Source organism: Homo sapiens, chromosome 11, assembly GCF_000001405.40.
Source record: "Homo sapiens chromosome 11, GRCh38.p14 Primary Assembly".
Classification (NCBI taxonomy): Eukaryota; Metazoa; Chordata; class Mammalia; order Primates; family Hominidae; genus Homo; species Homo sapiens.
The window spans coordinates 108,965,895-108,983,260 of NC_000011.10; positions in this window are offsets into that span (position 1 = coordinate 108,965,895).

The following is a 17,366-nucleotide window of genomic DNA, read 5'->3' on the forward strand; positions in this document are numbered from 1 at the left end:
TCATCTAACTGTAAGGGAAGCTGAGCTGGCAATGTAGCATGGCTAGACAGCCCCATGTCTGGCTTTGATTCTACTCCTGTGGAAAAAGGGAAGAGCGGATTTTGGTGGACTACCAGCATCCTCTACTGTTGGTGTTTTAAGAGCCAAGTGGAGACACAGCAAGCAGTGGGACGAGGAAGCAGAGCAGAGAGAGGAGGTGAAGAACGGCAGCCACTGTTAGCAGCTTTCAACCAGGGTGACCTGTTTGATGCATCAGATGATGGTCCCCAAAGCATGGATGGATGATGTGGTTGTGGGCTGAACACTTCTGTTCATACTGCTGATGTGCGGGCATTGCTGCTGTCTCTCCCACTCAGGAAAGAGTGTCAGAATTCAAGTTAATATGACATCATTAGGAGGAACCTGGACTTCAGCAGCAGCCTCCTAACTCATCACTCACCACCACCAATCTATTATCCATTCCACAGCCAGATGAACCTTCTAAACCAAATCAAAGCAGCTCCCTTCCCTGCTTCCAGCCCTTTAGAGGCTCTCTGTTGTTCTTTGGATAAGGTTGAAGACCTTTCCCTTGAGTCATGCTGTCCTTTGTAATAGGGCCTCTGCCTCCTTCAGCAGCCCGATGGCTTGCCATTCTCCAGCCGTGCTGGTTGTCTCAGCTCTCCGGAATAAAGAATCTTTCTCTCCTGCCTCAGGGCCACCTTGAGCAGTCTTCCCCGTGCTCTTCTCCTGGATAACTGCTCCTCATCCTTCAAGATCTTTGAGTAAACATCACTTCCATGCAGGACTTCCTGTATCCCCTCAAACAGGGGAACACACCTGTGCTATACATTTCCATACCCCTTGCATGTTCATAAAGCCTACAAAACATGCGGCTCCTCATGGGATAACATCATCTTCATTTGACAATAGAGAACTCTAAGAGGGTCCAAATCTTTCTGTCTTGTTAGAGTTGGTGTTAAATGGGTGAAGAAATAAAGTACTGGGTTCTTCAGGCGTGCTGTAATCATTTCAAATGGTGCGCTTTAGAACCAGGTGGGAGTTATATTGGGGAAGGGCTACCAGCCAAAGGAGAGAGGCTTTCCATGAAGAGTGTGAAAAGGTGAGCAAAACCTTCACTGGCCGTGAGGGAGACGCCTGAGTTTTAGATACTGAAGCTAAAATAGGTAGGAATCAGATATTTCAGAAGGTGAAAAAAACAAGTGTGTCTGACCTTGTCTTCAGAGCATTCCTGGCCTCTGGGATCTATTTGTATGCAGATGTCATTTCCTATTTATAAATTAGCCTGGAGGGGCTGTGGGTCGGTAGGTGAACTGAAGGACAGTGGTGAGTCTGTAAGGGTGAGAGACTAGAGAGGAAAGGCTGAAAAAAATGTCCAATATTCAGCATTTTGTACATCCATTTAATAAATAGCTTGTGACAGCTTACTGATGTGCCTGCCACTGTGCTGGATGCTTTTGGGGACAAGAGGGGCAGGCAATACAGAGATGGAGGATGGAAAGGTCAGGGTGTGTGGGAGCACAGAGGAGAAAGCAACAATTTGCTCAGGCCAGGTGGGAGAAGGCATCACTGAAAGGGCAAATTTGAAGTGGGCTGTAAAACAATAAATTAGAATTTCCAGTGGAAAGGAAGAAAAAGGGCATTCTAGAAAAGTGAAGAATGGGAGCTTGAAAAATGTCAGTGTTTGGGCAGTAGCGAGGAGTTAATGTGGATCAGGAACCCAGACTGGAAAGCAGTGATGATAATGATCGCCGACATTTAGCAGACACTTCTTATGTGCCAGACACTGCTTAAGTGCATTGCCCATATAATCTCAGCTTACAAGTGGCAGAGCCAGGATTTTGAGCCAAGGCAGTCTGACTCCAGAGCTCATGCTTGCAAGCACGGGGCTATTCCACATTGTCATGGAGACTGCATGCCAGGCTGAGCTCCTGGGAGGGGTGAGGGTTTGGGAAAGATTTTAGCATTTGGAAAATGACGCGTTCAGACTGTGCTTTGGAAAGACCATTCTGAGACCTGTGTGAATACAGGCTGTGCAAGCTGTCATGAGAGGCAGAAAACACGGGATACTGCCCCACCAACGGGAAGCGTAGAATCTCCTTAACAAGCAGACCTCACAAGTGAGCCAATTAAATGCTAGGGTTCTTAACACAGATGAAGAACAAACTCTAAAAGAGCTTAGAGACCAGAGAGAAAGCTAAGCTGGGCAAATGAACACAGCCATTTTAACTTCAGGGAAGGTAGAGTTGAGTCCAAATCAAGATGTCCTTGCCTCTGCAGTGGAATGGCCCTAATTTTGTCCCCAAATATACTGGTTCGAATTGTATCCCCCAGAATTTCTTGCCCCTGAACCTCAGAGTGTGCCCTTATTTGGAAATAGAATCTTTTGGTAAATTAGTTAAGATGAGGTTACTCTGGAACAGAGTGGGCCCCAAATCCAATGACTGCTTTCCTTATAAGAAGAGGAAAAGAGAAGCAGAGACAGACACAGAGGACACAGACACACAGGGAAGATGGTCCTGTGAAGGTGGAAGCCGGGGTTGGAGCAATACCTCTACAAGCTAAGAAAGCCAAAGATTGCTGCCAATCACCAGAAGCCAGCAAGAGGCAAAGAGGAATCCTCCTTTAGAGCCTTCGGAGGGAGCATGGCTCTGCTGATGCTTTGCTTTTGGATGTCTAGCCTCCAGAAACCTGAGGGGATAAATTTCTATTATTTCAAGTCACCTCATCTGTGGCAATTGGTTATGGCAGCCCTAGCAAACCAACACAACAGAGGAGCTGAGAAACCAGAAGTCAAAGTCCTGCTTCACTCTCCTGATTTTTTTTTTTTGGAGACAAAGTCTCACTCTGTTGCCCAGGCTGGAGTGCAGCGGCACTATTTTGGGCTCACTGCAACTTCTGCCTCCTAGGTTCAAGCAATTCTCATGCCTCAGCCTCCCAAGTAGCTAGGATTACAGGCACCCACCACCATGCCTGGCTAATTTTTGTATTTTTAGTAGAGACGGGGTTTCACCGTGTTGGCCAGGCTGGTCTCAGACTCCTGACCTCAGGTGATCCACTTGCCTCGGCCTCCCAAAGTGTTTGGGATTACGGGTGTGAGCCACCGTGCCTGGCCTCACTCTCTTGATTTTAAGGACACATAGTCCACAGCCACGTTGTTAAGGTTAACCAGGATAAAGTCAGGGTGACTGAGGGCAAGGGCTCTGGATTTCAAATCCCTCCTCCTCCACCTACTTTCTAGGTAACCTTGAGCAAATTACTCAATTGCTATGAGCTTGGATTTCTTACCTGTATGATGCAGTTAGTGGTCGTCCTACCTCACAGGATTGTTTTGGGGATTAAGTGAGTTTATATACTTAAATATTTAGAGCAGTGGTTGCTGTTACCCTTATTGTTGTTGGTGGTATCATTTGCTTGGATTTGGGATAGGAAATAAGATGTCCTAGATCTTCAGCACTAATCCCTGCTGCTTTAATCAGGCATGCCCCTGCCTTTGTGCATCGTTTACCCAACATTCCACATCCATGCTCCCAGAAACATGGCCTTGATGATGCCTGAGAGCCATCTGTGATTCAGATGGCACAGGGTCCCCAGGGTCAGCACACCAGGTCTGCTGTGAGATTGTTTGCTCCAGAAAAGGTGGTGCAAGTTGCCAAGCAATGTAGAGGCCACAGCTGTTAGATCCCAGGAATTATACCTCCAAGTCCCACAAGGCCCATTTCTAATGCAACGACTGGGGAAGAACTCCAAAAGCATTATTTGTAGTCTTTCTTTTCCAGTCCCAGCCTACCCTACAGGTCACAGGACAGCAACTGCTGAGTACACCAAGTGTGAGTTTCATGCTGGCAGCAAAAAAAGGTTAGAAGAAATTGGAAGTGTTCTCTGGAGTTCTCACTCTATTAGCCTGCTCTGGTTTCTTAAGACTTTTGGCTTCTCTAAACCCAGGCTTTCTTAGGTCTGGGTGGACAGTCATTCCTTTTACTCTTTAGGGTTCTGACTTATAGAAAATAAACACAAAGAACTGAGTTAAGCAGGGGTCCACAGGGCACTTTTATTTACCAAAGTAAGGGCTCTCCAGAAAACTTTGTAGGCTTGAGACCAAATAGAGCTTTCTGTATCTTCTCCCACCTCAAAATCAGACTTACCCATTGTGGTAGATAAAGATGGCTTCATATCCTTTGACTCTTCTCCCATTGCAAGTAGAATCTATGTCTCGCACTTTTGAATCAGTGTGGGATCTTTGGCTGCTTTGATCAATAGTATATGGGCAGAAGTAACATTGTGCTAGTTTCCTAGTGACTTCTTTTTTCTGTTCTTTTGGAATACTCACTATTAGAACCTGGAGGGGCAGGTGAGAAGTCCAGCTTTCCTGGGAAACCACACAGTAGCCCTGAGACTCCATGGAGAGGAAGAGGCACCCAGCCGAGCCCAGCCTTCCAGCCATCCCCACCATGGTGCCAGACATATGAGTGAAGCTGTCTGAACCACCCCCGCCACAACCTGACCCAGCCACTAGCCAAACACCATGAAGTAACACCAGTCAGCGTCATGTGGTGCAGAAGAATTGCTCAGTTGAGTTCATCTCAGATTCTTGACCTGAAAAATTGTAATATATTATGAAATAACTGTTCTTGTAAGCCACTAAGCTTTGGCATAGTTTGTTACTCATGGGTAATTGGAACACTCACCCAGTCTCAGATAAAGAAACTGGAACCCAGAGTAGAGATTGGGCTTGGCATCATAGGCAGGCATTCTCTGATTCTGCTTAACAAAATGAGCCTGGGAACCCAAGGAGAGCCCAGGCCTCCAAAGCCCAGGGGCCCGTAAGAGTGAGAGGTGAGTGATGGACCCGTAACTTGTTACAGTGCATGGGCCTGCCCGCTGTAAATGGGCCCAGTGGGTGTCAGCCTTTCACCAGTTTTGCTAATCAGATAAATCTGATTTTCTCTGGGAAAAAGCAAGTAAAAAGGCAAAAAGAAAGATCAAGTATCCCTTCCTGGGACTTCTTGAGTGGCTTGAAGTGTTTGTAGATGTTTCTTCTTCTGTGAAAACCTGAGAGCAGAGGAGTAAATATCATATGCTCAATGAACAAAACAAAACCAAACCCGGAAACAGGTTATTTGGTTTGACTTTGCAAGGAAAGGACATACTTAGAATTGGTAAGGTAGAATTTGGCAAAATACTGGATTTTCTCTTCCCAATTTGTCTTTAGTCTGAAGCAGGCCATGTCCCATTATATGCTCTTGGCATTTTTATTTCCCCTGTTGGAGCCCTTATCACAATTGTAATTAATTGGTCATAGGATTGTCTGTGCTTTTCTACCCTGAAAGCCATGACAGTGAAGACTTTGTTCTCTTTTGAATCCCTGGGGCCTAGGTCGTAATAGATGCCCAGTAAGTATTTACCGAGTGGACACCTGAATCAATTAGGTGTGCCTGACATTCAGGTTATGGAGCCCTGATCTCACCCACTCTTAAAGTCTCATTCTGTGAACCAACACCTCAGCTCTCCTGGTCTTCAGCTTTATGGGGAGGACTTTCAGCAGGGGCTTCACATCCCTGGTCTAGCTCTGTAACCCACCTGAACTCCTAGCCTTACCATGTGACCCAGTTGTAGGGTAATTACTCTCTCTTTAGTTTGCAGTTAGTTGAACTGTGTCAGCATGAGTTGTAGACAATGCTAAGACCACCTTCCATTCTAGACCTGCTGTGTGACCCTAAGCAAGTCACCTAACAGATTGAACCCCAGCCTTTTATAAGTAAACGCAATCTCATCTCTGCTGGCCTCACATGGTAGTTGTGGGAATCCAATCTGAAAATGAGGTCAAGTCATTTCATAAAGCTCTTCTTCAACCATTAGCAATGGAGGTACATTCACAGGATTGAAATAAGACTTCAACCAGCTTTTTTGCCATGGCTCAGAAATTTAAAAAAAACAGGTTTATTGAGATATAATTAACAGATCATATAGTTCACCATTTTAAAGTGTACAGCCCAGTGGTTTTTAGTATATTCACGGAGTTGTGCAGACATCACCATAATCAAATTTCAAACATTTTCATTGTCTTCAAAAGAAACCTCATATCTGTTAGTAGTTACATCCCATTTCTCCTTCAACCTTCCCAGCCTGAGGCAAACACTAGTCTACTTTCTGTCTCTAGGTTTCATATAAATGGAATTATTCAATATGTGGCCTTTTGGGTCTGGTTTCTTTCAGTTAGCAGAATGTTTTCAAAGTTCATCCATGCTGTGGTGTGGATTCCTTCATTCCTTTTATTTCCAAATTATATTGCATTGTATGGATATACCACATCTTGTTTATTCATTTTTTGGTTGATGGACATTCGACTTGTTTCCACTTTTTGGCTATTATGATTAATGCTGCTATAAACATTCATCTACAAGTTTTTGTGTGGACGTACGTTTTCGTTTCCCTTGAGTGGAATTGCTGGGTCATATGGTAACTCCATGTTTAACACCATGGCTCAGGAATTTGCTGGCTGGAGAATAGAAAAGTGAGGCTCTTCTGGATGGCAAGGAGAATTTGAGTCTGTGTGTGTGTGTGTGTGTGTTGTACACAGATGTGTGCAGGAGCAGCGCTGCTGGGGTAGGAGCAGCAACTTTTGACTATCATATTCAAAGTAATTCTTGGCCAAATTCCTGGTAACTCTGAAATTTCTGCCCACCTACTCCTTTGTCTGAATGTTGCCCCTATTGGGTGGTCGTCCTCAGACAGCTCTTCAGTCAATTAGAAGACTTTGGCAAAAATCGACAAAAGCATTCTGGAAGAATCAATTAGTTATATGAAATGTACAATAGAGAGTATTATAAATGTTATTATTAGTTGTCACTTGTGTTTTACACCTTTTATATCTACAACATTTATAATAAATGAATGGACATATACACGTATACACATTTTTTCCCCCAAAGAGTTGTTGTGGACATGTGCCTGCACACACTGGGTCTGCAGTGTCAGAGGAGCAGTGCCACCGGGTCGTCTGTCAGTGTTCTGAGCAACTGGACTAGGAGCTCTGGTGGAGGTGGGAGCAGAGAAGGAAGGTGAGTGTTTAAATTTACCAGGACAACGCTGGGTAACTGACAAAATATTAACTGTCATCCTTCCATACCCTTGTCCTTCCCCTCTGTAGCAATCCTTCCAGGGCCTCTGAGAAGGGCCTGTTCCTCACTTAGGACACCTCCTTTTAGGACTAGCTTCTTCTGGCCTCACATTTCCCCAATCACTCTGAATCGCCCCCACTTCATGTTAAGGGGTCCCATTTAAGTCAACTCCTGTGTCCACCCAGGTCTGAGTTCCAAGACGGGATGTTTGTGCTAGTCTTTTTCACTGTTGTCTCCCTGTTGCACAACGTACTCTGCTCGTACCCTGTCCTGATTTCCTATCCTGGAGTCCTATACCCTGTGTCCAGCAAGGTATCCATGACAAACACACATCAGGATGGCCCCGGTGTGCTTCCCTTTTGGTAAGAATGGCCCTTGGCAGGAGAATAATCTCTGGACAGACATCAGAAAGATATTCTTGTGTTTCCATGCTTTGGTTGCACGTGCTTTCCTTGCATTGCCTTTTATTGCCAGTGCAGATGCGAAGAGCCTGCTGGCATCACTGGGAGTCAGCTGCCATCTCTGCAGTAGGTGCCTCCTGAGTGGCGGAATGTTAGTTCCCAGTTGATGACAGTCTCTGATAATACTTTTAGCGTTTTTCTTCTGAGTCATTTCCCTAGGGCTGACTCAATACTGCAAGTTTTGGTGTCTTATTGTTTTTTTTTAAAGGGATGCTTCAGACCTCAGCTCACCTATTAACTTTTCCTTTAAACCAGTCTGCTCTTGGAAGGACTCTGGTACAATGATATTCCTGCCTGTCCTAGCAGGACCTCAGGCCCTTGGGTGGGATCTCTGTTGCTCTTTCCCTGCCTCCTGCTTCCCAAGGCTCCGGTCATTCGGCCACCTACCAAACTCAGAAAAGAGCTTTATGGCACTAGACTGGGAGACGCCAGGGGACCAGAGTGTTGGGGAAAGTGAGGATGGGGGAAGAAAGCCACAAGTTTTCTGTCTGGTCCCAGGCTTGACAGTGAATGCTCGTTCCACCTCTAGATTCCCATCGCTTTTATAGCATTGCGTGAGATCATCACACTCCTGGAAGAATAAAGCCTCTGCCTCTTACGCCTGCCACCTAAGACTGATTGCTTTGTGTTCACGGTCCTCAGTCCATAGGTGGGCCTGAGTGCTGAAATGCCAAATCTGCAGAGAAAAAAGCTTCACAGTGACAGTTTTGAGAGAGAAAACCCTTTTACTAAGTGTATAAAGGTTTTTGCAGAACGAATACAATTCACCTAATGATTAATACCATAAAAAATCGGCATATTGATCCCTTTGTCAGTGAAATAAATTGATCAGGTGCTCACATCACGCCAGTGGATCAATTTTACTGCATCCGATGAGCCGACAGCATTCTTCATTGGATAGTGTGTTAACACCTTAATTGATATATTTCATAATTTTATTGTGGCTTATAGTCACAGGATTGCTTCTGGGGATAATAATTTATTTTTTTATTGGCAAGAGGTTCAGAGCAGAATTTGTGTGGTATTTCTCAAAAGTGGTTAAAACTGAGACATGTGTAACAACTGGAAAACTCCTCTGGTCTTTGGATCCAAACGAGACAGTTCCTGATCAGTGGTGTTCACGTGGGAATGAGCATCTGCATCCACAAGTTTGGAAAGGCCCAGTAAATACCAGGTGGTCCTGTAATCTCAGCATTTTGGGAGGCTGAGACAGGAGGATTACCTGAGGCCAGGAGTTCAATACCAACCTGGGCAACAAAGACAGACCTCATCTCTTAAAAAAAAATTAAAAAAAATTATCTGGGTGTAGTGACCTGAGCCTGTGGTCCTAGCTACTCAGGAGGCTGAGCCTGGAGGATCACTTAAGTCCAGGAGATAGAGGCTGCAGTGAGCTACAATTGTGCCACTGCACTCCAGCCTGGGTGACAGAGCAAGACCCTGTCTCAAAAAGAAAAAACAAACAAACAAACAAAAAACCTACTAGGTGCTCATAAATTATAACTCTGATTGGTTTATTGTAGTTGAATTGCACTGACTTAGACTCTGTTCCAGTTTCCTAGGCATCAGGACCTACTCAGTGTTGTACCAGCCACTGAATCACTGCTTTCTCTGCCTAATTTGCTTTCCTGGTGTCATTGGGGAGACGTGGAGCTTTCTAGGATGCTGGAAACTAGGGCAGACCCACTTCCCCTGGAGGCTGGTTTCTAAATGCTGCTGACAGCCCTCACCATGCCCTAATAGGGAAATATAAGGCTAGCTTCCCTCAACCACTCCCTACCTCTCCATGCCTCTGCCATTCAAACCTTGCCCAAATATTTGCAGGCACACACAAATCCTGAGCAAATAATTGCCCACAGAGTTAAATTGTTTGTAGTATTTAGTATTCTGTGCTGCTAGTGTCTCTCACACACTCTATGATTTTTTTTTTTTTTTCAGATAGAGTCTCGCTCTGTTGCCCAGGCTGGAGTGCAGTGCTGCGATCTCTGCTCACTGCAGCCTTTGCCTCCTGGGTTCAAGCAATTCTCTGCCTCAGCCTCCTGTGTAACTGAGATTATATGTGCTGACCAACATGCTCAGCTAAATTTTTTTGTATTTTTAGTAGAGTGGGGCTTTCACCATCTTGGCCAGGCTAGTCTTGAACTCCTGACCTCGTGATCCACACACCTCAGCCTCCCAAAGTGTTGGGATTACAGGCATGGGCCATCGTGCCAGGCCTCACTCTATGATTTTTAAAGGCAACTGGCAGCAAGCACATTTTGGAGGGTGTCCACAGCACAGAGACAGAGTGAGTGTGTGCAGAACTTCTGGTCCCTTCCAGCCCTTTCCCCAAGCCCCTCACTAAGCACCTGATGTGATTATTCTGTGCTAAAAATAGGAGTGTTATCACAGCTCTTCGGCAGGTGGGAAGCTTTGTGGAAAGAGATTTGCCTTTATGTTTTCCGGCTCCCTTTCCAAGTCCTTGAGTGCCAGATGGACGAATGCAGCTTGATTATCATGTGTGTACAGGGTGTGCTGGGAGATGAGCAGGAGCAGCTCACCACTCATGTGCATGGTCAGAGGCAAGGCCAGGGTGGAACGACTTTCCCAGTTCTCTCCGCAGCCATGCTCATTTCAAACCATGGCATTAAAACCAGTCACTTGTAAATGTGTAAAAAAAATTATCTTGGAAAAATGCTGAAGTTTGCTCTTTTACTACCACACTTGGGATAATATTTGATAAAGGGGTGATTAGGGAATATTAAATCTAAATGTGAGGAGAATAAATTCTTTTTCAAATTATGTATTTATTTATTTTTATTAATTTTAACTTAGAGATGGGATTTTGCTATGTTGCTCAGGCTGGTCTCAAACTCCTGGCCTCAAGTGATCCTCCTGTCTGGGCATCCCAGAGTGCTGGGATTACAGGCGTGAGCCACCATGCCTCCCCAGTTTAAAAATATTTATTCAGTTCCTACCAAAGCAAGAAAGGTTTCCACACATTTGGTGACACTAAGAGTTTATAGTCTAGTTCGAGGGTCAAGATATAAACATAGAAGTTTTGATAATATAATAAATAGTTTCCAATAGCACCTTTTTAGCATATTTAGGGTTTTCTCTTATTTCTTCTGGAATACCTCTCTTAGGAAAGTAGGCAGAGCGGTTAAGCAATGTATCCGACTAACCAAGTAGCCCCCAGCCCAGGAGGAATAGATAGGCAGGGGTGAGGTAGGATGAAGAAGGGAAGGACAGGTGGCAGGATTCTCCAGGAAGCCAACAAGGGGACTCCACAAAGCAACTCTACCCCTGTACTTGATTACATAAAGGCAGCGAAAGAGGTCTGCATTGGGAAGACACGGAAGTGAGCGTTGTTACTGGTGACCTTTTGCCCCAACACCTTGTAATTTCTCCTAATAGCACCATTGGATGTGTCTGTCAGAGCCAGGCCCTGAGGGCTCACCCTGTGTGACCCAGAGTAGGCTAGGTGGCTCCTCTCCATCAAGTGAGTGAACACTAGATTAGCTTGTTTCTCACCCACATAACAGTCCAAGGTCTCTCCTCCATGTAGTCATTCAGGGACCTAGATTGATGGCTGACTGTCTTCCAAGGGTGGGTGCCTTAGCCTGGCTTTTCCCATTAGAAAGCAGAGTCAAGGGCTTGGTGCAGGGGCTTTAATTAGAGGACTTAATTTTGGGATTCAAGGGACTATGAGAAGGTTGCTGGAAAAATGGAAGCAGGGGTTAAAGTGAAGCCATCACAAGCATGGGCTACCAAGCTGGACCTCATTGTGAGAAACAGAGGAATCACCTCACTGGGAATTCTGAGGACTTGTGTATGAGTTTGCTAGTGCTGCTATAACAAAGTACCACAAAGCTGGGTGGCTGAAATAACAGAAATGTATTGTCTCACAGTTCTAAAAATCCCAGATCAAGGTGTTGGCAAGGTTGATTCATTCTGAGGGCTGTTAGGGAGAATCTCTTCTATGCTACTTGCCTAGCTTCTGGAGGTTTGTTGACCCTCTTTGATGTTCCCTGGCTTGTAGGCACATCACTCTGATTGCTGCCTTCATCTTGACATGATGTTCTCCCTATCTGCAAGTCTATCTTCAAATTTTCCCTTTCTAAAATGACACCAGTCATATTGGAATAGGGCCCACCTTGAACTTGATCATCTGCAAAGATCCTATTTCCAGGTAAGGTCACGTTCACAGGTACTGGGAGTTAGGGCTTCAGCATCTGTTTTGGGAACACGATTCAATGCATAATGAGCTGTATAAATGGACCTCAGAACTGTCTGCCTAAGGTACCTAAAAGAAAAGCATTGGCTCCTGCTGTCCATTGTCAGTGCACCAAGGGATATTGCTCTTCCAGACTGCACCCGTGTGAATAGCCAGTGGCTCCTGCTGGCATCCCAAGTGGCTGCAGAGAATCTCCAGGACAGAGAGTGAGAGACATGTGGAGCAGCTTTCAGGGTGCACCCATGGAAGAGCTGCTGGGGTAAAAGTTAAGCCTAGAGGATGTGAGGTGAGGCCAGGAGGTATCTGATATGCGGGAGTGTGGGAGATGCTCCTTCATCCCCTACTCACACCACCACAAGACTCCTGTTCGTCTGCTTCCCCTGTTGGACTAGGACCTCCAAGAAGGCTGGTCTTTTTCACAGCTGTACCCCTGTTGCACAGCAGAGTATCTGGTACATTAAGGCATTTAATTCACACCAAAAGAATAAAGGGTCATACTTTTAGTCCCAGTATCTCCATCACGATTGAAACTTTGGGGAACTTGATATAGCCACAGGAAGCTGCTTCAGTGAATTGGGGGAATAAGATTCCCTCCCCTGTCCCTCTTCCATGCATAGGTAAACTGTTGGGAAGGTCACAAACTGTGACCCGCCTCCTCCTCTCCTCATCCCAGTGCCTCCCCCTTCTAACTCCTGAAGAATGGAGGTACGGCAGGGCATTTAGTTTTTTAAAATTTTTGATATATCCCAACTGTCTTTTTGGTGAAACCGCCTTGTAATACATCTTTGAGGTATTTTAATAACCAAATCCCTTTGACAAGGACCCAGGATGGAGCCTCAGGAGAATAAATAGCTCTCTAACAAAGTTCCTGTATATTACCATTATCATTGTCTTCTTTATTTCAACATGGCTTGCAGAGAGAGAAGAGAGGTCAACTGTAAAATGCTCATTTAAAAGTAATTTCTAAGCATCTGCCTGTGCTGAGCACTGCATTAGGTATTAAGTGGACAGAGCATGTTCAATTCAGATCCTAACAAGCTCGTGCTGAAGCACTTACCCACTTGGTGCTCACTGGGAGGATGGGGACACCGTGACCCAACTCTAGGAGTTACTTGGTAAGGAAAAGCAGAAAAAGAAATCTGTTTTATTCTGATCTAAAAGCATTCGGCAGGCTTCTCGCACCTGCATCATAGATTTTGGGGCATTTGCCCTGGGGGATTGGTCCTGAATTTCCTGTGGGTAGAGCTTACACATCCATTCCCCCTCCCTACATGCACATCTCTGGAGCCTCTCTTACCTCTGGTGGTCTCAGGGATAATCTATGTAGCCTGGGGCTGTACAGCCTGCCCCAGGGCTTTGTGAAGACCTGGCTGGCTATGAATCAGCCCTTCCCCTCCTTATTCTTTTATAATCAGAAGATATTTACATAAAGCATCCCAAGAGGGTTGCAATGGGGAAAGTAAGGTTCTGCACCCTCTACGCCTTCCATCTCTCAAGTGGTATATAATTTGCAGCCTAGCCTCTCCTAGCCTAGAGGTGTCGATGGGGAAGATGACCATGTATTTACTCTGCCCCCTGTGAGGGGTCAGGGGGCAAGGATCACCATAATGTGAGGAGACAGGTTATCTGTGAATCTGCAAGGAGGGAGTTGGAAGGGTGTGGCAGCAAATGTAATGTTGCTAGACAACAGCCCCTCTCTGACCCTCTTCCCCACCATGATGAAAAGCATCTGAGGAGAAGTGAAGGGACGGCATCCTATTTTAGGAGAATCATTCTTTAGGGCCAGTTCTTTCCCGTGCTAAATACAAAGAAAGAACCAGAAGCCCCATCAGAGGTTTTGCAGAGGGCAGATTGTAGCAGCTCCATTCTTGGGCTTTGGAGACTGAATCCCAGCTTTGCTTCTACTTTCTGAAAGGCCTTGGTGAAGTGACTGAAATTTGCCAAGCCTCAGTCCCCTCCTCTGTAAACTGGGCATAATAGTAGAACCCACCTCAGAAGGTGATTTTGAGAATTACACAAGAAAGCCAAGGTAAAGCTGCTTATCACAGGACCTGGGAACAAAATTCAATTTTGACACATCAGCTATTATTATTATTATTATTATTATTATTATTATTATTATTATTTAAGACTTTCTCTTTTTTTTCTTACTTTAAGTTCCAGGATACATGTGCAGAATGTGTAGGTTTGTTACATAGATATACATATGCCATGGTGGTTTGCTGCACCTATCAACCCGTCATCTAGGTTTTAAGCCCCACATGCATTAGGTATTTGTCCTAATGCTCTTCCTCCCCTTGCCCTCCACCCCTCAATAGGCCCTGGTGTGTGTTGTTCCCCTCCCTGTGTCCATGTGTTCTCATTGTTCAACTCCCACTTATGAGTGAGAACATGCAGTGTTTGGTTTTCTGTTCCTGTGTTAGTTTGCTGAGAGAAATGGCTTCCAGCTTCATCCATGTCCCTGCAAAGGACATGAATGAATAGTACTTTTTTTTGGCTGCATAGTATTCCATGGTGTATATGTGCCACATTTTCTTTATCCAGGGCATTTGGGTTGGTTCCAAGTCTTTGCTATTGTAAATAGTGCTGCAATAAACATATGTGTGCATGTGTCTTTATAGTAGAATGATTTATAATCCTTTGGGATTTTTTATGGCTGCATAGTATTCCATGGTGTATATGTGCCACATTTTCTTTATCCAGGGCATTTGGGTTGATTCCAAGTCTTTGCTATTGTAAATAGTGCTGCAACAAACATACATGTGCATGTGTCTTTATAGTAGAATGATTTATAATCCTTTGGGTATATACCCAGTAATGGGATTGCTGGGTCAAATGGTATTTCTGGTTCTAGATCCTTGAGGAATCACTACACTGTCTTCCACAATGGTTGAACTAATTTACACTCCCACCAACAGTGTAAAACCATTCCTATTTCTCCACAGTCTTGCCAGCATCTGTGTTTCCTGACTTTTTAATAATTGCCATTCTGACTGGCATGAGATACATCAGCTATTATTATTATTATCTACTATATGTGGAGTTCTCCTCAAGGGCTTCTTCCTGGGCTTTCCATACTACCATGCATTAGTGATTAGCTGAAAAGACAGTGCTGTTTCAGGATGGGACTGAGAAGCAAGTCAATTGGCCAGCCATGCTGAGATGGCCTATGGGGTAGAGGTTCCCTGGTGTTCTCTGGCTGGGAGCTACAAAGTCTTCTCTTGTAGCTGTACATTGGAAACCTCAGACAGACTTCAGCCCTTCTCAGACTTCCAGCTTCCAGGCTCCGACCCGGTTGGGGTACCTTGACTTCCTGAGAATCTTGCTTGATTGCTAATTTAGACAGTGCCCTCACTCGTGTCCCTGTGGCTCAAATGGCAGGGCCTGGGTGACATCTGACAGGTAAAGTGAACCCAGGGTAGTTTAAGAAGGGCCAGACGCCACCTGTAGTGACACTAGGACTTGATTAGTCAATTGCTCCTGAAATCAGTAAAAGATCTTAAAAAATAAACAGGTTTCCCAGTCTTTGGGAAAAAACGCACAGTGAATAAATCCTCTGAATGCAGTATTTGCTTTAGGAAAATCCCAGAGACTCATGAGGCTCACCAGTATTTGTACTCTCTTTTTCTTGCTGGGCTGTGGCTGGACTATATTTTCCAGCCATCATCGCTATTAGGTAAATAGGTGAGGAGGCACGTAACTGAGTTTAGGCCAATATAATATGAGTGGAAGAGTGGATGAGGCCTATTTCCAGCCCTGATCCATAAGAACCTACCATTTCTGATCATCTTTCTCTCCTCCAGTTTACCAGTGGGCTGGAGAGGATTCCAAAGAGATGGGGTCCTAGGATGCAAGGCGTCTGGGTCTTTGCATGACCATGTGTTCTTGTCTTGTGAAATGATGATCCTGTCTTGTAAGAAACAGAGCATAATGGTATGGCACCACTGAGATTTGGGGGTTGTCACTCTAGCAGCTAGCTTTATTTACCCTCATACAGTTTGATATGGTTTGGCTGTGTCCCCACCCAAATCTCATCTTGAATTGAAGCTCCCATAATTCCCATGTGTTGTGGGAGGGACCGGTGGGAGATAATTGAATCATGGGGGTTGTTTCACCCATACTGTTCTCATGGTAGTGAATAAGTCTCACGAGATCTGATGGTTTTATAAGGGGAAACCCCTTTGACTTGGTTCTCATTCTTTCTTGCCACTGCCATGTAAAAATTGTCTTTCACCTTCCACCATGATTGTGAGGCCTCCCCAGCCATGAGGAACTGTGAGTCCACTAAACCTCTTTTCTTTATAAATTACATAGTCTCAGATATGTCTTTATCAGGAGCATGAAAACAGACTAATACATGGTTTATTTAAGATTATACTTTGTTCACATGCTGCAAATGGATGTCCCAATTCTGGGTAGATAGTATAGGTGAATGTGATAACATCTTGTATTTCAATGTGTACTCTTTTTTCCTTTTGGTCAAGGCCATTGGTGATTGGTTGTTTTGTTGTAAGAAGGCTTCAAAAGTCATTCATTTTAAGTATGTTTCTCACCCATATCTGTTCTCTACTCTCATCCCTCACCCTTCCACATTTTGATGGCCTTACTGTCATCAAAGTGGCATTGGATTTATACTGTGTTGTTAAAGGATGAAGAATCTTAGATTTCTAAGCTGTGGGGAAATTAATAAAATATCAAAAATTGAAACCAAGGATGATGTAACCCTAAAGAATAGTTCTCTTTTGAATACATCTTTTCAGTTTCTTTCTAATACACAAACTTACATACATATACATCCAGTTATTGATAACAGTATTAGCTAGAATTTATTGAGTGATTGCTGCATGTTGGGCATTTTTAAATTTTAAATATTTTTAATTCTCAGAGTAGCTCTGTAAAATGGGCATTGTTATTCTCATTTTCAAATAGGGAAGCTGGGGTTCAGAGTCATAAATTTGTCTAAGATGACACAGCAGCAATGCACTCAAATCCATACCTGCTCTGACCCAGATCTTGCCTGTTGTCTTATATTACCCTATAGTGTGTTATCTTTATTCTGTGGATAGAAATTTTTGGAGCCTCTGGCTAGAGACCTTGACCCTGGGATTGGTGACCCTCCCTTTCCATGACTTGTCCAATAAAAAGGCACAAGACTCTCTAGACCAGCAGACTCTACATAGGCCTCTCTGAAGGGTCTCAAATCAGGCCCAGAGAGTTTTGTACCTGCCTGTCCCATCTATTGCATTGTCTACCTTCAGCATCCATGAGTTCCTGAGTGCATTTTTGTTAGGACCTTGGTCCCAAGCAGATTCAGATTCCTGTCTTTCAAGGGCACTGGAATGGCTAGGATGGGAAAATGACAGCCTCTTTGGGGCCAGTGATGGTCCAGTAGAGGGGCACAAGAGGAAAGATGATTAGAAGGTGAAATAGAGAGGATACATTGGTCACTGTGCAGGTAAGGCAGGTTGGGGGGAAAGGGGGAGTCATGGGTGTTGCCAGGTTTTTGCCTTGGGCCACTGGGTAGGCAGCATACACAGGAAAGGACCAGCCTTAAGGGCAAATATAAAGGAAGCT